At 46.6% G+C, this 22,917-nt stretch overlaps 1 protein-coding gene across 2 annotated transcripts; it reads right to left on the bottom strand.

Moving 5' to 3' along the window:
• Positions 1 to 1,190: 1,190 nt before the first annotated feature.
• ZSWIM3 (zinc finger SWIM-type containing 3) lies at positions 1,191 to 22,699 on the bottom strand. 2 transcript variants are annotated; one of them, NR_037628.2, is made up of 3 exons: positions 22,333 to 22,699; positions 7,488 to 7,642; positions 1,191 to 3,599 (listed from the first exon to the last, which is right to left on the bottom strand). NR_037628.2 is itself a non-coding variant. In NM_080752.4 (2 exons), exons 1-2 carry the CDS (start codon positions 22,485 to 22,487, stop codon positions 1,664 to 1,666), a joined length of 2,091 nt encoding a protein of 696 aa, NP_542790.2. In that variant the 5' UTR covers positions 22,488 to 22,699; the 3' UTR covers positions 1,191 to 1,663. The 2 variants fall into 2 exon arrangements, 1 of the variants encoding a protein (NP_542790.2); NM_080752.4 differs by lacking the exon at positions 7,488 to 7,642.
• Positions 22,700 to 22,917: the final 218 nt, after the last annotated feature.

Below are 22,917 nucleotides of genomic sequence, written 5' to 3'. Positions count from 1 at the left end.
GGTCTCTTGTCCTCAGTTCCCTTGAAGATGGCAGACTTAGAAAACTGGGTGTTTACCAGGCCTTGGAGGATTAAGATTACCAACTAGCAACATCAAATCAGTGTTGGTACTTACGCATCGAAAATGTTATTGGGCTGGGTGCAGTAGGTCATCCCTTTAATCCCAGCACTTTGAGAGGCTGAGGCAGGTGGATTGCCTGAGATCGGGAGTTCAAGACCAGCCCGACCAACATGGTGAAACCCCATCTCTAAATACAAAAAATTAGGCAGGCGTGGTGGCACATGCTTATAATCCCAGCTACTCAAGAGGCTGAGGCAGAATCGCTTGAACCCAGTAGGCAGAGGTTGCAGTGAGCCGAGATTCTGCCATTGCACTCTAGCCTGGGCAACAAGCAACAAGAGCGAAACTCCATCTCAAAACAAAAAACAAAAAGGTGCTTATGTAAACCTAGAGGGGAAATCTGGGATTAGAACAGGCCAACATGCTAATTTTTACAGAGGAAACTGAGGTCAAAGAAATTGCCCACAGTTCCCCAGCAAGTTGCTGGCAGTCAAGTCTAAGATTCAGGTTTTTCCCCCACACCCTCCAGTCTATTTGGCCTCTTCCCGCTAGAATATAAGGAAACCTGAAATCAACCTTGAAGGCTTAGTTGTAGGAAGGAGGCAAATTAAGACGCAGATTGCCAAATCCTTGAATGTGAGGCATCAGGTTCTATTTGGCTCCACAACCCCATTAGGTTGCTAATACTTAATTTTCTTTTCTTTTTTTTTTGTTGTTGTTTTTTGCTTGAGATAGAGTCTCACTCTGTCACCCAGGCTGGAGTGCGGTGGCACGATCTAGGCTCACTGCAACCTCCGCCTCCTGGGTTCAAGCGATTCTCCTGCCTCAGCCTCCCAAGAAGCTGGGATTACAGGTGCGCCACCACGCCTGGCTAATGTTTGTATTTTTAGTAGAACAGGGTTTCGCCATGTTGGCCAGGCTGGTCTCGAACTCCTGACCTCAGATGATCCATCCACCCGCCTCGACATCCCAAAGTGCTGGGATTATGAGTGTGAGCCACTGCGCCTGGCCTCAATTTTCTTTAAAATTAATAAATCCACCTAGAGCAGCCACTTCCTAACTGTAAAGTCGAGTCCTATTGCTATGCAATTCCTCTTCCTTCCCTGATCAAGCAGAACACATTTCCCTTGTTTAATTTTATTAAAAACAACTTTAATATGAATAAAAAGTTACAAATAAGATTCTTCATAAAGAGCAGCAACAGCCAAAGATCATCCTCATTCCCTTTGTCCCTGAAAACAGGCCCTTTTACCAGACCGATTTTGTCTCACCCTAACCTGAGGCAGGGATTCATCTTTGCAGAGCAAATAAGATCTGATCTCAGGGGCTGGGGGAGGAAGAGGGTGACCTTGCAGCACGGAGATAACTTTGGCCTTGAACAACAACTGAGGCTCCCAAGGAATGCCAAAAGTAGGGCTGAAAAGGGGCAGATTGAAAGGACTGTCACACAGTGGAGTTCCCTTCCTCTCTACTGTAACAATATTCCTAGCCCCACCTAGGAAGACATTGGCTAAAATGCTAAACCCTAGTATGTCCTGCCCACTTTAAACTCTCACACTTCCAAGGAGAAGTGTTTGTGGTCCAATGCTTCAGCTAAAGTGCTTCAATAATGCATCACAGCTGTAGCAGGAGGGAATCCCTCCCCTTCTTCTTGCTTTCCCCAGAGGAAAGGGAGGCGGCCCACGTCCTTAAAGTCTCCTGGCTGCTGAAAGAGCTCAGATGGCTGGGAGGGGCCAGCCCAGATATCCACAATCTTGCGCAGGGTGGAGTAGCGTTCCTCCAGCTCTGGCCCCTCGGTCTGCATGAGCAGGTTTGCTAACTCCCTGCTTAGGTCCTGAATCATGTCGTTCCGTCCTTGCTTCTCAGGCTGGCCTGTGTTTGGGACCATACCACGATCCTGGAGCTCCCCATTGGGCCCAAGGAGGTACTGGTACTTCTTCTGCCACCGGCGGCACACCATGGCTTCACCAACCGGCTGCTGGCTGGTGTGCAGCAGAGCCAAAATGTGTCGGCATGGCAGGTGGTACCATTGTTGAAAGGAACAGCTGCAGCTACAGCCATCTTTGCTAACCTGGTGAGAGTCCTCTAGCAGCTGAACGTCCACTGAAGAGCCAGCCATGTCCACCAGGTGGGTGGAGTTCTGTACCACCTCCCACTCATTGTGGCACAGCTTGTAGGCTAGTTCAGAGCCACTCTGGTGCAAGGTGTCCAGCATGCCAACCTGCGAGGGCGGCACTTGTGACTGCTGCTGTACCTGTACCTGCTGTGCGTCTGGCTTGGTCTCTTCTGCAGGGAGGCTGGTAAGGCTCTCTCCACAGATTCCAAAAGCCTTCTTGGACTTCAGTGGCATGCTTGCCGGCCGAGCTCTCTTTAATTTGGGAGGAGGTGTGGGCAAGTTCTTCAAGCCTTTGGTATTAAAGAAGTCTATGTAATCCACAAAGCAGAGGATGCAGTCCAGCAGCGACTGCTGTTCCCGAAAGAGGCTTGACACCTTGCTGGTGACAATGTCTAGGCTGTCCATGTAGGTGTTACACGCAAGCAGGCCCTTCCTAACATGCATGTACCACAGCAGTTCACAGGTGAACCAGTGGGCCTGCAGGAAGTTGAAGAGATCCTCATCCAGTACGGCCTGGGACATCTGGCAGAGATTTTTCAGGCTGGCTTCAGAAGTGACAAACACGGCCTCCCGCAGGGCTTCCTTCATGAGCCTTTTAAAGGATGGATTTGCTGAACTACGATGCAACTTCTTCTCCAAGAGTCGGGTTGTGTGGTAGATGGAAAGGAGGATGCGGGCAGCAGGAAAGATCTCCTGCAGGATAGCCCGGTAATGGAATGAAGGGTCCACAAAGACCACCTTGACCTTGGGCCAATCGGAGTTGAACTCTGTGAAGATGCTCAGCATCTTGGCCACAGAGGTGACTGTCTCCGCCTTGAGCACAGCAAAGTGCACCACTCGACTTTCTCGTTCCTTGTTCTCCACCAAGAAAGCATAGAGGATGTGGCCCTGGGTGTTCTCCACCCGGTGTAGCAAGAGATTCTCTGGGAAGCGGATGAACAGGTCGGTCATCTTACTGCTCTGGAAGCTGAGCCGGTCCAGGTGCTGGCTGTCACCCACACTGAAGGAAGCCATGGAACCCTCATCTACCTTAAGAAAGTTCTTCATCACTTTTGCTATCTTGGCCAGGTCAGAAGGAGTGATGCCTTCCTGCTCTGGCTTTGAGGACACTTGTACCTTATCTAGGCAAAACGATGGCTCAACCAGGGACTTCTCGGCAGTGTCAAGGTCTTTTTTGGTTGTGGGCTGCACAGGCTGGAGTCTCTGCAGGCACATTGTCTTTTGAGATTTGCCAGTGGTGTCTCCTCCAGGACTAGCCACTTTAGAGTCACCATGTATGTGCTGTGTGTTTAGTTCACTGATAAATAGTCTATCTAGTCTCTCGTTGTACCTTAGGAGCAAGTACGCTGGGCACATGTCTGCCTCCCGCGTTCTCTTCCTGTTTGATTGGGTCCGAATGCAGACAAATTTCACCTGCACATACCTAGGGAAGGTAGAGGTAACAATGAGAAAGGTGCTGACCACCCCCCACCCCTTATAAAGATAAGACCCTGAAGGGGGCTGGGTACAGTGGCTCATGCCTATAACCCCAGCACTTTGGGAGGCTGAGGTGGGAGGATCACTTGAGCCCAGGAGTCTGAGACCAGCCTGGGCAACATGGAGAGACCCTGGCTCTACAAAAAATTTAAAAATCAGCCAGGTGTGGTGGTGTATTCCTGTGGTCCCAGCTATTCAGGAGGCAGAGAAGGGAGGATCGCTTGAGCCTGGGAAGTTAAGGCTGCAGTAAGCCATGTTCATGCCACTGCACTCCAGCCTGGGCAACAGAGTGAGACCCTATCTCAAAAAAACAAACAGCTGGGCGCGGTGGCTCACACCTGTAATCCCAGCACTTTGGGAGACCGAGATGGGCGGATCACCAGAGGTCAGGAGTTGAAGACCAGCCTGACTACCAACATGGAGAAACCCCGACTCTACTAAAAATACAAAATTAGCCGGGCATGGTAGTGCATGCCTGTAGTCCCAGCTACTCGGGAGGCTGAGGCAGGAGAATCGCTTGAACCCGGGAGGCGGAGGCTGCAGTGAGCTGAGATCGCGCCATTGCACTCCAGCCTGGGCAACGAGAGCAAACTTCCGTCTCAAAACAAAAAAACAAAAAAACAAAAAAACAAAAAACAAACAAACAGGAAAAACCCGTAGTAGGGCCAAGTGTAGTGGTTCCCAACTGTGGTCCCAACTACTCGGGAGGCTGAGGCTGGAGGATTGCTTGAACTCAGGAGTTTGAGGCTGCAGTTAGCTCTGATTTGTGCCACTGCACTCCAGCCTAAGCAACAGATCAAGAGTCTATCTCTTTTTTTTAAAAAAAAGAAAAGGATTCATATATTAATAGAATTAAGGAAGGCTGGGCATGGTGGCTCATGCCTGTAATCCCCGCACTTTGGGAGGCCAAGGAGGGCAGATCACAAGGTCAGGAGTTTGAGACTAGCCTGGCCAACATAGTGAAACCCTGTCTCTGTTAAAAATACAAAAAATTAGCCAGGCATGGTGGCAGGCACCTGTAATCCCAGCTACTCGGGAGGCTGAGGCAGGAGAATCCCTTGAACCTGGGAGGCAGAGGTTGCAGGGAGCCGAGATCACGCTATTGTACTCCAGCCCAGGCAACAGTGCAAGACCCCATCTCAAAAGCAAACAAATAAACAAACAAACAAAAAAAAAAATAGAATTAAGGAAAGAAGGAAGGCTGGGTGCTATAGCTTACGCCTGTAATCCCAGCACTTTGGGAGGCCAAGGTGGGAGGACTGCTTGAGATCAGCCTGGGCAACACAGCAAGAGACTGTCTCTAATTAAAAAAAAATTTTGGCCAGGTACAGTGGCTCACGCCTGTAATCCCACCACTTTGGGAGGCCGAGGCGGGTGAATCACGAGATCAGGAGATCGAGACCATTCTGGCTAACATAGTGAAACCCCGTCTCTACTAAAAATACAAAAAATTAGCTGGGTGTGGTGGCAGGCGCCTGTAGTCCCAGCTACTTGGGAGGCTGAGGCAGGAGAATGGCGTGAACCCGGGAGGCGGAGCTTGCTTGCAGTGAGCCAAGATGGCGCCACCGCACTCCAGCCTGGGTGACAGAGTGAGACTCTGTCAAAAAAAAAAAAAAAAAAAAAAAGTTAAAATTAAAACCCCCCCCAAATCAGGGCACGTGTTCTCAGGATCTCCTGAGAGTTGTGTCATGGGGAAAAAAACAATAACAACAAAATCCCCATGAACCAAGAAGAGATTTACATTAACTCTCCAGTCCCAATATAGTCAGCTCTTTCTTTAAGAGCCTCTCCAACTCCAGCCCCCTTCATATTCCTCTACCGCACTTCTAAGCCCCAACTCCATTCTCTCTTGGTTGCCATTTGTAGCTGCCAACAATTCACCCTGAGGCAGGACAAGAGGGCAAATAGACAAGCAGCAGCAGCAGAGTGCTTAGCTGGTTACTCCCGTTTAAAATGTCCCCATTGTTTGTGTCTTTTGGGAACTACCGCTGTCTCTTCCTTCTCCAGATAGCAAAGATAAAAGCGAGGATCCCAGGACATTGGACTAGATCAGTGGTTCTCAACTGAACTTTTCAGGGAATGTTTTGGGGCTAGGGAATGTTTGGTCCTCCTTTTTAAGAGACAAGATTACTGCTCATCTTTCTTTTTGAAATTAAAGTCTCACTCTGTCACCCAGGCTGGAGTGTAGTGGTGTAATCTCAGCTCACTGCAACCTCCACCTCTGGGGTTCAAGCGATTCTCCTGCCTCAGCCTCTCGAGTAGCTGGGATGACAGGCATGCAGCACTGCACCTGACTAATTTTTGTATTTTCAGTAGAGTCAGGGTTTCACCATGTCGGCCAGGCTGGTCTCGAACCCCTGACCTCAAGTGATCCACCCGCGTCAGCCTCCCAAAGTGCTGAGATTACAGGCGTGAGCCACCGCCCTCGGCCTCTTTCTTTCTTTTTTGAGACAAGGTCTCACCGTTGCCCAGGTTGGTGTCCAACTTCTGGGCTTGAGCAATCCTCTCACCTTAGCCTCCCAAGTAGTTGGGATTACAGGCATGAGCCACTGCATCTGGCTTCTACTCATGTTTCATTTAAAGAAAAATGTCCACATCCTAAGAAAATTTGATAACCACTGGGCTAGATGATATTTAGGGTCTTTTCCAGCTTTGTCATTCTAGGCTTAAAGTGATGATTCAAAACACAACGGCAGTTAAATTGATTATCTGTTCTTTTCTTATCTCTATTCAACCAGTTTCAAGGCCCAAATCAGGTGTCACCACCTTAGAAAGTCTTTGTGGATGCCCCCAAGCCACAGTAATTGCTCCTGCCTCTGAATTCATAGCATTTATCTATAAGGCTTAGCAGATTCTCTGGGTAGCACTATATCTAATGACTAAAGAGAGGGGACACTGGAGGCTGACTGGATTTGAATACTGGCTCTACTACTCATAAGCTGTTCAACCTTAGGCAAGTCAATCACCTCTCTGTATACAGTTTCCTCATCATAAAATGAGATAATCTTATGGTTGTTATTAAGATTAAATGAGCCACAGGCAAAATATTTAGTCCAAAGCCTGATTCAGCCTTTTGTTTACCCTAAATACAAGTTAGCTATTATTATTACAGCTTTTATGCCTTGTGACATTTTCTTAGATGTTTATCCAGTGCCTTTCCAATTGGATGGGGATGTCCTCAAGTGTCAGGACTATTATTCCTCAGGGTAGTCCAAGCCTCTAACACAATACTGTGCCTTCAGCAGATGCTTTTTTTTTTGAGATGGCGTTTCACTCTTGTTGCCCAGGCTGGAGTGCGATGGCTCGATCTCGACTCACTGCAACCTCTGCCTCCTGAGTTCAAGCGATTCTCCTGTGTCAGCCTCCCGAGTAGCTGGGATTACAGGCATGCGCCACCATGCCCGGCAAATTTTGTATTTTTAGTAGAGACGGGGTTTCACCATGTTGGCCAGGCTGGTCTTGAACTCCTGACCTCAGATGATCCGCCCACCTCGGCCTCCCAAAGTGCTGGGATTACAGGCGTGAGCAACTGCGCCCGGCTCAGCAGATGCTTATGGATGATGTACTGGATGAATGGATCATGGACCACCAATGGGTGGGATGGGTCACACCCCTCCCTCCTCAGGGAGTGCCCCAGCCCAAAGACCAGGGGAAGGGAAAAAAATCTCACCCCCTGGCCTGACGTGGCATAGCCTAGAAACTCCACCTGCACTTTTCCAAATACTCTAATCCAGCTGGTCCAGTTTGCTCACCCTGTGGGGCAAGCTTGGGAAAACAGGATGTGTGAGTCTCACAGTAACAGGCTGGAGGGGTTTGGGGCTGAGAGTGTCTGTACCTATTGTGTGCACAGTGCGGGGGTGGTGCCATCTCTAGCTCTGGGCCAGGAAGGGCTGGAGCAGTCCAGTAGTACAGCGAGGCCAGTGAGGGGTGACCACTTGTGGTCTCCGCTTGTCTCTCCAGCCTTGTTTTCATCACCTTGTTTTTTGTGTCCTAGAAAGACAAAATGCCTACAACTTTGTGTGTTCACCATGCTCTGTCTCACCTTTGTGCATGTTTGTCCCTTTGTCTGGAATGCCCTTCCTACCTTCCCTCCTCGCAAGCCTTGCTCATCCTTCAGGACTACGTGCACCCATTATCTTTTCTAGGAAGCCTTCCTCAAGCCCTTAGTTGGGTACTACTCTTCTGCTAACTCAACATCTTAGCCTAACTCTAGCTCATCAAGTTATATTGACTTTATGTGTACTTAGTGAACATTTGTTGAGCTATTCCAAAGAAAGGTACTAGTGAGTGCCCACCACAAAGCTCCTTGTACCATTCCTGGCTCCATTTATGTCTGCCCCTCCCAGGGCGGGAACCTGGATATTCTTTTTGATTCTTCTTTCTCACCTACATCCAATATGTTAACAAGTCTTTTAGTTCTCCCCTACCACTGCTACATGTATTGAGGATTTATTATATATCTGGCTACATGAAGCCCCCAATGTGCATCATTTTACAGTAGGAAAAGGATTCTATTATCATCTACATTTTACAGATGGGAAAACAAGCTTAAAGAGGTTCTCAAGGATGAGAATCTGGGATTTAATCCTCCAGCTAAGACCTGGGAACATGGGATTTGTACTGCTTGTTTGTCTGCAGTCTGACTAGTTAACCATTATGCTGCCTTCCTTCAAAATATTTATCCTTTCTCTGAATTCCTACTTTTACCCTCCTCATCTTGACTCCCAACATATTGGATAGGTTCAAAACTTCCTTAAGGATCTCTAAACATACTTTTTTTTTCTTTTTTTTTTTTTCTTTGAGACAGATATTCGTTCTGTTGCCCAGGCTGGAGTGCAGTAGTGTGATCTTGACTCACTGCAACCTCTGCCTCCTGGGTTCAAGCAATTCTTCTGCCTCAGCCTCCCAAGAGCTGGGATTACAGGTGCCTGCCACCATGCCTGGCTATTTTTTTCTTTCTTTTTTTTTTTTTTAGTAGAGATGGGGTTTCACTCCTGTGTAATCTCTCCCCTGACTAGACTTTGAGAGTAGAGACTCTGTAGCCTTTTGAACAACTTGTACAGTATTTGGTACACAGAATTCAGTAAATGTTTGAAATTAAACAAATGACTTGTCCAAAGTTATAGTCAGTAAGAGTAATAGTGCTAGGACTAGGAGCCACGTCTTCTAAGAAAATTCTATCCCAGTGATCTTCCTATTATACTACTTATGTCATAGGAAGAACTTTTTATGCCTCAGTCATTCATTTGACATTCATAGAGCACCTATTATGTGCCAGACACTGGAAACACCATTGGCTCCTTTACCTCTATAGTTACAGTAGAAAAACACAAACATCTACAGAGTAGATTGGAAGGAAGCAAGACTGGTTGACCCCCTCCAGATCCTGGTTAAGTGCTGTTAGATATAAGCACTAAAGGAGATTCAGGAAAGTATAAAACCATGTCCCCATCTTGAAGGGAGTTTATGCCTTTACCAGGGAGACAGTAAGTACAGATGAATATAACTATAGTGCTCAATGAATTCTTGCAAAAGATGTCTGTGCTTCAATACATGTTATATCTCAATAGAAGATTAAGGGAAACAGAAAAAAAATAACTTCAACCTAGCACTCATTAAGTTTGGAATTCATGATTCAAACAACAGCTTGCATCATGACTTCCAGTAGCTGGGCGCCGTGGCTCACACCTGTAATCCTAGCATTTTGGGAGGCCAAGGTAGGTGGATCACTTGAGGCCAAGAGTTCATGACCAGCCTGGCCAACATGGAGAAACTCCATCTCTACTAAAAATACAAAAAATTAGCCGGGCATGCTGGTGCACACCTGTAATCTCAGCTACTCGGGTGGCTGAGGCAGAAGAATCACTTGAACCCAGGAGGCAGAGGTTGCAGTGAGTCAAGATCACGCCACTGCACTCCAGCCTGGGCGACAGAGTGAGACTTTGTCTCAGAAAAGTAAAAAAAAAAAAAATAAATTCCACTTAGCTATGTGACCTTGGACAAGTCACTTCACTTCCTCTAAGCCTCCAATTTCTTCTCTCTCTATACATGGAAATAACAATATGAATAATCAGTACCACTTAAAGTGAATTAATTTAAAAAGCTATAACAGGAATTGTTGGTTGCCAACTCAACAACCTTTGTCCCTTCTTTTCTATTTTCTTCAGTTGTCATTCCTCCCCCACATCACTACATGCTTCAGGGCTAATCTAAGTCAATTAAGGTAATTGTATTAGGAATGGGCATGGATATTGGCCCAATTCGGGACAAAGAAACATGACAGGAAATTGGCAGGAAACCAAGGAAGGCTTTTTTTTTTTTGAGACGGAGTCTCCCTCTGTCACCCAGGTTGGAATGCACTGGCACGGTCTTGGCTCACTGCAACCTCCGCCTCCCGGGTTCAAGCGATTCTCCTGCCTCAGCCTCCCGAGTAGCTGGGACTACAGGCATGCTACCGTGCCCGGCTAATTTTTGTATTTTTAGTAGAGACAGGGTTTTACCATGTTGGTCAGGCTGGTCTCAAACTCCTGACCTCGTGATCTGCCTGCCTTAGCCTCCCAAAGTGCTAGGATTACAGCCACCACGCTTGGCCTTTTCTTTTTTTTTTTTTTTTTCTTGAGACGGAGTTTTGCCCTGTTGCCCAGTCTGGAGTGCAGTGGCAAGATCTCGACTCACTGTAACCTCCGCCTCCTGGGTTCCAGCGATTCTCCTGGCTTAGCCTCCCGAGTAGCTGGGATTACAGGTGCCCGCCACCACGCCTGGTTAATTTTTGTAGTTTTAGTAGAGATGGGGGTTTCATCATGTTGGCCAGGCTGGTCTTGAACTCCTGACCTCGTGATCCACCCACCTCAGCCTCCCAAAGCACTGGGATTACAGGTGTGAGCCACCACGCCCGGCAAGAAAGGCTTCTTCTTCTGGATGTGACTCCTGCATTTGTGCCACATGGGGAGCCTTCCTAAGGACAAAGCTGAGACCTGAACATGGCAGAGTGGAAAAATGCAGAGTCCAGGCCACTGAGACAATGACCTTTGGAGGCCCACCTCTGGGCTTCTAAGTATCTGCAATAAGCCATTTTGAGTCAGGGTTTTCAGCTAATTGCAGCCAAAAACATACCCAGACACATTTCTTTTTTTTTTCTTTTGAGACGGAGTTTTGCTCTTATTGCCCAGTCTGGAGTGCCGTGGCATGATCTCGCCTCACTGCAACCCCTGCCTCCCAGATTCAAGTGATTCTCCTGCCTCAGCCTCCCGAGTAGCTGGGATTACAGGCGCCCACCATCATGCCTGGCTAATTTTTTGTATTTTTAGTAGTGACAGGGTTTCACCATGTGGCCAGGCTGGTTTTGAACTCCGGGCCTCAAGCAATCCACCTGTCTTGGCCTCCCAAATTGCTAGGATTATAGGCATGAGCCACTGCGCCCGGCCACCCAGAAACATTTCATAGGGAATAGTGATAAACAAGATCTGGGTGGAACTTTATCACTACCACCCAGATAGTGATAAACAAGATCTGGGTGGAAAATGAGACTAAAATTATAAAGTTAATATTATATTTAGCAGGGCCGGGCACAGTGGCTGACGCCTGTAATCCCAGCACTTTGGGAGGCCGAGGCGGGTGGATCACCTGAGGTCAGGAGTTCAAGACCAGCCTGACCAACATGGTGAAACCCTGTCTCTACTAAAAATACAAAAATTAGCTGGGCATGATGGCTTGTGCCTGTAATCCTAGCTACTCAAGAGGCTGAGGCAGGAGAATTGCTTGCACCCGGAGGTGGAGGTTGCAGTGAGCCGAGATTGCGCCACTTCACTCCAGCCGGGGTGACAAAACAAGACCCTGTCTCAAAAAATAAAAATAATGATTATTATTATTATATTTAGCAAAAGTAGGTTATAATGGCAGCTATATGCCAATTCTCAGAATAATCAAAGAATGACTTAAAGCAACTATTCTTTTCCTAGTATAGTTTTCCCAAACACTAGGCCAGGTGCAGTGGTTCATGCCTGTAATCCCAACACTTTGGGAGACCGAGGCGAGTGGATCACCTGAGGTCAGGAGTTCAAGACCAGCCTGGCCAACATGGTGAAACCCTGTCTCTACTAAAAATACAAAAATTAGCCGGGTGTGGTGGCGCATGCCTGTAATCCCAGCTACTCAGGAGGCTGAGGCTGCAGTGAGCCAAGGTCGCACCACTGCACTCCGGCCTGGACAGGAGAGCAAGACTCTATCTCAAAAAAAAAAAATTCCCAAACACTATACTTCATTTCCTGTCTCACTTTTGCAACATACAAAAGATGGTTTTGCCAAAATATTCCTTAGCTTTACTAAGTTTCCGAAGGGCTTAATTTTTCCTAGGCAAATCCTCTACTTTTCAAGTTTTTACCATCTCATCATCTTTGTTGATTTCCCTTCTTCCTTTGTTAACTGGTATAAGGCTGAAGGTTTTCTATCATCACTTGCAGGGATTTCGCCTAGTCCTACAAGTTTTGGGAGATGTGCCATTTCAGTCTACAGTCAGTTTTATTTACATTTGCATTACCTTGATGCTTAATGTATCTCTTCATCAGCCAGAAATTGACTACCAAACATGTTAATGGGACTGGCAGGGATAAGCAGAGGGATGGTTAAGTAGTGACTAATTTTATAAGTAGTTTGTTAGCAAGATTCTTGTGTGATGACTTTTGCTTTTCTATATAGCCTTGTAACTATGGATACATGGATAATGAAAACTCTGATAACAAGGGTCCTGCCAAAGGTGTGGTAGGATTGAGACAATTCTTGTAAAGTTCCTAGCAGAGAAGGAATGAGCTCCAACAAAGTGTTTACAAATGGTGGCTGTTAACCTGAACAGCAATGGAGAGAGACAGCCAAGTACTTCATAGTTTAAGAAACATCAATCCCTCAAATGGCATAACAAAAAGAAAAACAACCGTCATAAAAATCTGAGAGGGGAAACTGGGCATAAAGTCACATACTCTTCCCAGTTGATAGCAATGTTTCAAGAAAAATGAAAGTGGAGGCCACAGTTTAGATATACTCCAAGGCCAACTGCCCACAGCCACATAGCCGGAATTTAAGATATCCTGATTCCCTGAAATGTAGCTCTAATCAATCATAAACAGAACACAAAGCTTTACATCCTTGTCAGCATAATTCAGTAAAATTAAAGGAATCAACTATAGACAAAACAGTTTGAACAGCTCTACTGGCTGTAAACAGATTGTTAATGTATAACAGCCAATCACAAAAAAGGTCAAAATCCTTCCTTAGGCTTTATTAACACTGCCCTCACTACAGTGACTGGAGCATCTGACTAATCTCCAACTGTTCTTTTGTGTGCATAATAAAATTTTTTCTGGCCAGGTGCGGTGGCTCACACCTGTAATCCCAGAACTTTGGGAGGCTGAGGTGGGTGGATCACTTGAGGTCAGGAGTTCGAGACCAGCCTGCCCAACATGGTGAAACCCTGTCTCTACTAAAACTACAAAAATTAGCTGGGCGTGGTGACGGGCACCTGTAATCCCAGCTACTCAGGAGGCTGAGGCACGAGAATTGCTTGAACTCGGAAGGCGGAGGTTGCAGTGAGCAGAGATAGCGTCACTGCACTCCAGCCTGGGTGACAAGAGTGAGATTCTGTCTCAAAAAAAAAAAAAAAAAAAAATTTCTAACTTGATCTGATTTTATTTTTTTGACGTGAACTTTTGGTCATTTAGTGGTAATTCCCAGAGCACGTATCTTTGACTCTCTTTCAAATAACTACCACTTTCTACTACATACTATAGTTACAGCTTCAGCAAACATTTACTGAGCACTGTTTTAGGTGCTACGAGCATTTTCCTTTCCTTTTCTTCTTTCTCTCTTTTTTTGAGACAGGGTCTCTGTTGCTCAGGTAGGAGTGCAGTGGTGCAAGCATGGCTCACTGTAGCTTCAAACTCCTGGGCTCAAGTGATCCTCCGGCTTCAGCCTCCTGAGTAGCTGGGACCACAAGAACATGTCACCACGACCAGTTAATTTATTTTTTGTAGAAATGGGGTCTCGCTATGTTGCCCAGGCCGGTCTTGAACTTCTGGGCTCAAGCAATCCTCCCACCTTGGTCTCCCAAGTGCTGGGATTACAGGCATGAGCCACTGCCCCTAGCCTGAATTTCCTTAATCATCCCCACACCCTTCTCATTTTGTAAAGGATGAAACTGTGTCAAGAGGTTAAGTTTTGCCCAAGGTCAAGGGCAAGGGGGGGTCTTTTTTACTCCAGAGCTCTTCCTTTTAACCGTTAGGCCAGTTTTGTAGAAAAAGAATTCCCAATGACCTTTACATCTGCCATAGCCACCCATATAATATTTGCACTATTATTTTCAATTTTATTTTTTGAGATGGAGTCTCGCTCTGTCACCAAGACTGGAGTGCAGTGGTGAGATCTCAGCTCACTGCAACCTCTGCCGGGTTCAAATGATCCTCCTGCCTCAGCCCCCTGAGTAGCTGGGATTATAGGTGCCCACCACCACACCCGACTAATTTGTGTATTTTTAGTAGAGACGGTTTCACCATGTTGGCCAGGCTGGTCTTGAACTCCTGGGCTCAAGCAATCCTCCCACTTTGGCCTCCCAAGTGCTGGGATAACAGGCATGCCCCCTAGCCTGAATTTTTTTTTTCTTTTTCTTTTTTTTTTTTTTTTGAGACAGAGTCTCACTCTGTCATCCAGGCTGAAGTGCAATGGCGTGATCTCGGCTCACTGCAACCTCTGCCTCCCAGGTTCCAGCAATTCTCCTGCCTCACCCTCCGGAGTAGCTGGGATTACAGGCGCCTGCCACCACGCCCAGCTAATTGTATTTTTAGTAGAGATGGGGTTTCACCGTGTTAGCTAGGATGGTCTCAATCTCCTGACCTCGTGATCTGCCCGCCTCGGCCTCTCAAAGTGCTGGGATTACAAGCATGAGCCACCACGCCCAGCCCTGAATTTTTCTTAATCATTGCCACACCCTTCTCATTTTGTAAAGGATGAAACTATGTGAAGAGGTTAAGTTTTACCCAAGGTCAAGGGCAAAGGCAGTCTCTTTCACTCCAGAGCTCTTCCTTTTAACCCTTGGGCCAGCTTTTCCAGAAAAAGAATTGCCAATCACCTTTACATCTGCCATAGCCACCCATATAATATTTGCACTATTCTTTTCTTTTTATTTTTTGAAATGGAGTCTCACTCTGTCACCCAGGCTGGAGTACAGTGGCACGATCTTGGCTCACTGCAAGCTCCGCCTCCCGGGTTCACGCCATTCTCCTGCCTCAGCCTTCTGAGTAGCTGGGACTACAGGCGCCCGCCACCAGGCCTGGATAATTTTTTTTTTTTTTTTTTTGAGACAGAGTTTTGCTCTTGTTGCCTAGGCTGGAGTGCAATGACATGATCTTGGCTCACTGCAACCTCTGCCTCCCAGGTTCAAGCGATTCTCCTGCCTCAGCCTCCCAAGTAGCTGGGATTGCAGGTGTGCGCCACCACACCCAGCTATTCTTTGTATTTTTAGTAGAGATGGGGTTTCGCCATGTTGGCCAGGCTGGTCTTGAACTCCTGACCTCAAGTGATCCGCCCGCCTCGGCCTCCCAAATTGCTGGGATTACAGGTGTGAGCCACTGCGCCCCGGCTACATGCCTGGATAAATTTTTTGTATTTTTAGTAGAGACAGGGTTTCTCCGTGTTAGCCAGGATGGTCTTGATCTCCTGACCTCATGATCCACCCACCTGGGCCTCCCAAAGTGCTGGGATTACAGGCGTGAGCCACCACGCCCGGCCCTGCACCATTATTTTCAAAAATTTTTTTGAGATGGAGTCTCACTCTGTCACCCAGGCTGGAGTGCAGTGGCGTGATCTCAGCTCACTGCAGCCTCCGCCTCTCGGGTTCAAGGGATCCTCCTGCCTCAGCCCCCTGAGTAGCTGGGATTATAGATGCCCATCACCGTGCCTGGCTAATTTATGTATTTTTAGTAGAGTTGGTTTCACCATGTCGGGCAGGCTGGTCTCAAACTCCCGACTTTAAGTGATCCGCCCGCCTCGACCTCCCAAAGTGTTGGGATTATAGGCGTGAGCAACATCCAGCTGTAAATGGTTTTCTTTAAATTAGTTCACTTGCTTTACTTTGCTTATCAAGGAACTTTATGTCTACATTTTCACATAAGTATTAATATCATCTCACCTGACCACCCAGTAATATGTGTATTTGGCTGCAGAAACATGTACTAAATTACCTCCTAAAAACATTTCCCCCACCAACCCTCCAGTCCCCCAAGACACCCACGTATCACTCAAAAAGCCCAAGACAGTGAGCTCTGCACAGAGCCAGTTTGCAATAAATGATCCAAGAATGTCCTTTATAACATCACAACCAGCAGTCAACTTGTTTCTGCTAAAGACCTGTGCTGCTCATGAATTCACCGCCTCCTAAGCTATCTCAGTCCGCTATTGTCCTCAGGGGTGGAGCCTACAATTTCCTCATCTTTGTACTCCAGCTCATCTTTGTACTCCTGGCCCATGGTAAACACTTAGCCTCTTACCACAAGTTTGTTGAGGGAAAAATGGACAAGTGACATTAGAAAACTATTAGAGCCCAGTGGCTAAGTACAACAATTAAGAGCTCTGTCAGTAAATAGGCTGGGTCTAATTTTCAGTTATTTATGCTGTTGTTTTGAGACAGAGTCTCGCTCTGCTGCTCAGGCTGGAGTGCAGTGGTGCCATCTCAGCTCACTGCAGCCTCCTCTTCCTGGGTTAAAGTGATTCTCCTGCCTCAGCCTCCTGAGTAGCTGGGATTACAGGCACGTACCACCATGCCTGGCTAATTTTTTTATTTTTAGTAGAGAAAGGGTTTCACCATGTTGGCCTGGCTGGTCTCGAACTCCTGACCTCAGGTGATCTGTCTGCCCTGGTCTCCCAAAGTGCTGGGATTACAGGCATGAGCCACTGCGCCTGGCCCTAAACTATTTGTCTCTTAATGTTTGACTTCTCCTGGCTCTGTCTCCCCATCTGTAAAACAATACAATATTTGTGGACTATTTTCCATCTACAAGGCACTGCTGTAAGCACTTTACATGTATTAACTAATTTAGTGGGAACAGCAAAATTTGCCTCTGACAAGGTTATTCAGAGAACCAGGTCAGGTAATAAAGGTGAATGTGCTTTGTAAAGTATCTGCAAAATCTCAGGGCTGACAGTTTTTTCTGAGCAAGAGCCTGCATTGGTTTAGGGTGTCAACCAGCACCCCCACCCTGTTCCTGACAATCAGAATAAGTGTCACCATCACCCCTCCACAGGGCACCCTGGGTTTTTCCTTTGGAGCTCTACTACCACTTTAAGGAAATTATTATTTCTGTGATTATAGATTAGTATTTGTCTCCACAAGAGCAGAGATTCAATTTATATTTTTCAACAACGTATCTCCAGACACCAGCATGGAGTAACTTTTTAGTTAACAACTGCAAAAAACAAACAAAAAAACAAACAAACAAACAAAAAAAAAAACAAGGAAATCAATGAAAGTCAAATCAAATTGCCCATACGGTGGCATAATTTCCAAGATATATTGGTAAGTGAGAAGAGCCAGGTACAGCAGGTACAGAAGGCTATGTCTAAATAGCATGCTGCCACTTGTGTTAAAACAACAAAAAGATGCAAATGCATATACAAGACATGTTTGTTCAGCCTCAGTATCTCTCAGGAAGGTAACGCTGATTGCCTCTATATAATAATGCAGTGGGCCAGGCACAGTGGCTCATGCCTGTAATCCTAGCACTTTCCAAGGCCGAGGAGGGAGGATCACTTGAGCCTAGGAGTTCAATATCAGTTTGGGCAACATAGTGAGACCTCACCTCTACAAAAATAAAAATAAATAAATACATAGGCTGGGCGTGGCACCTCACAGCTGTAATCGCAGCCCTTTGGAAGGCTGAGATGGGTGTATAACTTGAGGTCAGGAGTTCAACACCAGCCTAGCCAACATGGCAAAACCCTGTCTCTACTAAAAATACAACAATTAGCCAGGCGTGGTGGTGCATGCCTGTAGTCTCAGCTCCTTGGGAGGCTGAGACAGGAGAATCACTTGAACCCGGGAGGCAGAGGTTGCAGTGAGCCAAGATTGCACCACTGCACTCCAGCCTGGGTGACAGAGCAAGACTCCATCTCAAAATAAGTAAGTAAGTAAGTAAATAAATAAAAATGAAATAAATAAATAGATAAAAAAGATAATGCAGACTGGGCACGGTGGCTCACATCTGTAATCCCAGCAGGGGAGGCTGAGGCGGGTGGATCACCGGGTCAGGAGATTGAGACCTTCCTCGCAAACATGGTGAAACCCTGTCTCTACTAAAAATACAAAAATTAGCTGGGTGGGGTGGTGCGTGCCTGTAATCTCAGCTACTTGGGAGGCTGAGGCAGGAGAATCGCTTGAACCAGGGAGTCAAAGGTTGCGGGGAGCCAAGATCGCGCCACTGCACTCCAGCCTGGCGACAGAGCGAAACTCCATCTCTCAAAAAAAAAAAAAACCAAAAAAAACCAAAAGCTAATGCAGTGGAGGTGACCCTTTTAGTCCCTTCTGTACTTTTTGAAAATATTTTTAATTATGTTAACCACTCAAACACAAAAACACTTTTTATTTATTTATTTTGAGACAGAGTCTCGCTGTGTCGCCCAGGCTGGAGTGTAGTGGCATGATCTTGACTCACTGCAACCTCCGCCTCCTGGGTTCAAGTGATTGAATTGTGCCTGGCCCAAAAACACTTTTAAAATTGTTCACCTTCAAAAACAAAAACAGGTCCAGCATGGTGGTTCATATCTGTAATCCCAACACTTTGGGAGGCTGAGGCAGGAGGACAGCTTGAGCCTAGGAGTTCAAGACCAGCCTGGGCAACATGGCAAGACCCTGTCTCTACACAAAAAATTGAAAAAAAAAAATTAGCCTGGCATGGGGGTGCATACCTGTAGTCCTAGCTACTTAGGAGGCTGAGGTAGTAAGATTACTTGAGGCCAGGATTTCAAGGTTACAGTAAACTATGACCCTCCCACTGTACTCTAGCCTGGGCAATAGAGCGAGACCTTGTCTCCTAAAACAAACAAAACAAATCCCAACCCACCAACCTGCTTATCAACCCTCCAATTTCCTTTCCTGCTGCTCCAGCATAAATCCTTCCTTCTAGCTAAGCAGGTCTCCTCATGGCTTTTGTATGTGCGTGCAAACATACATCACTGCTTGCTTTTTTTTTTTTTTTTAGAGACAGGATCTTACTCTGTTGTTGCCCAGGCTAAAATGTAGTGTGCAGTGGTGCGATCATAGCTCACTGCAACCTCTGACTCCTGGGATCAAGCAATCCTCCTGCCGCAGCCTCCAGAGTAGCTGGTACTACAGGCACACACCACTATGCCTGGCTACTTTTTGTATTTTTTGTACAGATGAGGTTTTGGCATGTTGCCCAGGCTGGTCTAGAATGCCTGGCCTCAAGCCATCTGCCTGCCTCAGCCTACCAAAGTGCTGGAATTATACGTGTGAGCTGCCACAACCTGGCCCCTAATTTTAAATTTTGTTTTGTGGAGACGGGGATCTCATTTTGTTGCCCAGGATTATAGTCTGGGCTGGTCTCAAACTCTTCATTTCAAGCAATCTCCCTGTCTTAGCCTCCCAAAGTATTAGGATTACAAGTGTGAGCCACCGTGCCCAGCCCATCACTGTTTTCTAATAGAAGCACGTCATGTTTACGTCTGTACTGACTCACACCATTTTTACCTCCAGGTTATTAATCTTCTTGTGGCAGGCAGAATGGTCCCTTGAAGATGTCCTTGTCCTAATCCTAGACTCTGTGAATACGTTAGGTTACATGGCAAAGGAGAATTAAGGTTGCAGATAGAATTAAGGTGGCTATCAGCTGACTTCAAAATAGGGAAATTATCTGGGATTATCTGGGTGGGCCCAATATAATCACAAGGATCCTTAAAAGTGGAAGAGGGAGGCAGAAGAGGGAGTCAGAGACGTGATGACAGAAGCAAGGTCAGAGTGATGTGATGACTCAACCTGCTACTGCTGGCTTTGAAGATGGAGGAAGGGGGCCATGACCCAAGGTGTGTTGGGCAGCCTCTAGGAGGTGGAAAAGGAAAGGAAAAGGATTCTTTTTTTTTTTTTTTTTTTTTTTTTGAGATGGAGTCTCGCTCTGTTGCCGAGGCTGGAGTGCAATGGCACGATCTTGGCTCACTGCAACCTCCACCTCCCGGCTGCAATTCTGCTGCCTCAGCCTCCTGAGTAGCTGGGATTACGGGCATGTGCCACCTCGCCTAGCTAATTTTTGTATTTTTAGTAGAGACGGGGTTTCACCATGTTGGCCAGGATGGTCTTGAACTGCTGACCTCAAGTGATCTGCCCACCTTGGCCTCCCAAAGTGCTGGGATTACAGGCATCAGCCACTGCACCCGGCGGGAAATGGATTCTTACCCAGGGACTCCAGAAAGAAATACAGCCCTGCAGACATCTTGATTTAGCCTGCTAAGACCTGTGCCTGACTTCTAACCTAAATAACTCTAAGATAATAAATTTGTGTTGCTTTGCACCATTAAACTTGTGGTAATTCACTAGAGTGGCAAACAGAAAACCAATACACCTTCTGACAGCTCTCCATCTTTGGGGGCCCAGCTCAAGCCTCCCTTTCACTCTTACGTCTCTAGCTCGCAGTGATTTTTCTCTTCTGAGTTCCCGCAGCACCTATTTCCCTGAATCACATGGTTAGTACTTGATAACTCACTCATTCAATAATTATTTAATGCCTGCTATGGGCCACACCTTGTGCTAGCCACCTGAGATGGTCTTCCTGAAGGGTGTTTACGGGCAACTGTGGTTTTTTTTTTTTTTTTTTTTTTTTGTATTCCTCTCATTGCTTAGCAAGGTCCTACCCATAAAGGACAAGGTCCAAACACCTCACAATGGTCCCTAAAGACCCTTAGACTGCAAATGACTTCATCTCCTGCCAAACATGGTATCCCTCACTGTTACTCTAACATGCCAACCTTCTTTCATGTATCTTTGTCTTTGCTCCTGTAGGTCCTTCTGCACAGCAACTTCTGGTCAAATGCCTCCATGGTACTCAGTAATTAACCACAGATCTACTCTAGCACTCTACATTCATTCACAGCCCAGGGAAACCATCAATTCCAGTGTGAAGACTTCCCCCACCTCCCAGGCATTTGTCATTCATTTCTTTCTCCGTACATTTCTTTTTTTTTTTTTTTTTCCACATTCCTTTTAAAGCATTTATCACACACCAGTTTGCTTGAGTTCAAGTTTATCCTAGTTCTCTGGGGATAGTTTGAACACTTATTCATCTTTATGTCACCTATACCCAGCATAGCACTGGACTTCAGAACAGTGGAAAGAATATAGCCTGGCTGTCTAATTGAGGAGCTTTGGTTGAGCATCTCAATCCAAGTCTCAAACTCGGATATGCTTTAACTCTGAGTTGGCCCGCATGCTCTGAGTTAAAATTTGAACTGATTCAATTTTTTTAAATGGGAAAATCCACATAAAGTGTGGATTTCTGACAACTCTTGCCCAAAATTCTGGCAACACTAGATCTTTATTTTCATATGGCAGCCATCAGCTGGAGCTGATTAGATGGCATCTACTCTCCATTTGGCCCATTTCACACTTCTGTTGTCCCTAGCACAAAGACCTGGTGTTGGTTGCTATTTCATCATTCTTTTTCTTAAAGTAAAATTCAAAGTTAAAACTTTCTTACATTGGGTTGTTTCACCTAATCCCTGAAGGCATTTGAGTTTTCAACTCCTGTCTTAACCTCTAAGCCTGACTTCTCATCTGTCAAATCTTCTCATCTGTCAAATGCAAAAAAATAACATTTATCTATAATTCTGAAAAAAAAGCCCTGCAGGGTAAAGCATGCATAGAGAACACTGCCTGGCACATGGAAAGTGTTTGAAAACGGTTAATATAAGGAGCTCAAAAACCATTTACAAAATGAATGAATAGACCAGGCATAGTGGCTCATGCCTGTAATCCTAACACTTTGAGACGCCGAAAGATCGCTTAGTCCAGGAGTCTGGGAACAGCCTAGCCAACATAACAAGACCCAGTCTGTACAAAATCAAATAATTAGCCAGGCATGGTGGCGTGCACCTCCAGTTCCAACTACTTGAGAGGCTGAGGTGGGAGGATCGCTTGAGCCCAGCAGTTGAAGGCTCAGTGAGCTGATTGTGCCACTGCACTCCAGCCTGGGGGACAGAGTGAGACCCTGTTTCAACAAATATATAAGAACTAAAAACTGAATGAATGAATGAACGAACATTCCAACGACCATGTGACTGTTTTGTAAAGAGGAGACTGATGAAGGAAATTATCGCCAAGGTGTTTTTATCCGTTTATGAAAGCCATACTTTGTATTTGGGTTGCTGCAGCTGCTCAAAACAATGGGAGAAACTGCAGTTATAAATTCCAGAAAAGCCTGTGAATGGAGTGAAAGTGGAGTGGGTGGTCAAAAACCAATGGCCGTGGAGGCTTAGCTCTCTTCACAAGGCACACAGCAGGTGCTCAATGAGTGCCTGTTGAATGAATGGCCACGCAGCCCAATGCGTGCCTATGCACCCCTCCTCCTCCAGGCAGCCCTCCGGAGGTCCAGCCTCCTCCCCACCCTCTTGGCCCGCCCCGCCCCGCCCGCCCTTACAGGATGTCTTCGCGGATGGAGGTGCCATGGTTGAGGTTGTGGAAGCGGACGGAGACGCAGTCCCTGAGAATGAAGGAGCACCTGTTCTCCCTTTTGTAGGCGCTGAAGCACTCCTTGAAGTCCTCATAGGTCTTGAAGCAGCTGCCCAGCTCCATGGCCGCCCCCACAACCCACACTAGGGGCTGGTCCCAGCCCGGGCCCAAGATCACACCAGGGGTCAAAGGTCACACTATGAGGGTTTATAGGCAGGCGTGGGCCCAGAATGCCTTAAGGGTCCGCCCCAACTGGGTGGCCTATTCTGGAACTCAGGGAGGAACCCTAGGCCTGACCGGGTTACAAGAGGAAGGGGGTGTATTTGCTATCTGACAGGGGAAATGACACTCAGTCCATATTATCCAGTCCCGAGGTTCCGCCTCCTCAGCGACATATCCAGTCACACACAGGATTCGCAGATTGGCATTCATTTTCTCCAATTGCTAGAGAAAGAGGGCCACAGCCACCAGCGGACTGACAGGAGTCCTGACCAATCATAACCTAGATTCCTCCTTCCCGGGGTCTGCAGGAGACTTCCGGTTACTAGGGCAA

The sequence above is a fragment of the Homo sapiens genome, chromosome 20 (genome assembly GCF_000001405.40).
Source record: "Homo sapiens chromosome 20, GRCh38.p14 Primary Assembly".
Classification (NCBI taxonomy): Eukaryota; Metazoa; Chordata; class Mammalia; order Primates; family Hominidae; genus Homo; species Homo sapiens.
The sequence above is the reverse complement of the archived record's forward strand: the minus strand, read 5'-3'. Positions and strand labels throughout refer to the sequence as shown.

Bases quoted from the DNA above. Each gene is read 5' to 3' on its own strand.
- ZSWIM3 (NM_080752.4), bottom strand. From the start codon at position 22,487: ATGGAGCTGGGCAGCTGCTTCAAGACCTATGAGGACTTCAAGGAGTGC. The intron at 3,600-22,332 runs GTAAGGGCGGGC...TACCTTCCCTAG, and splicing joins TCCATCCGCGAAGACATCCT to GTATGTGCAGGTGAAATTTG.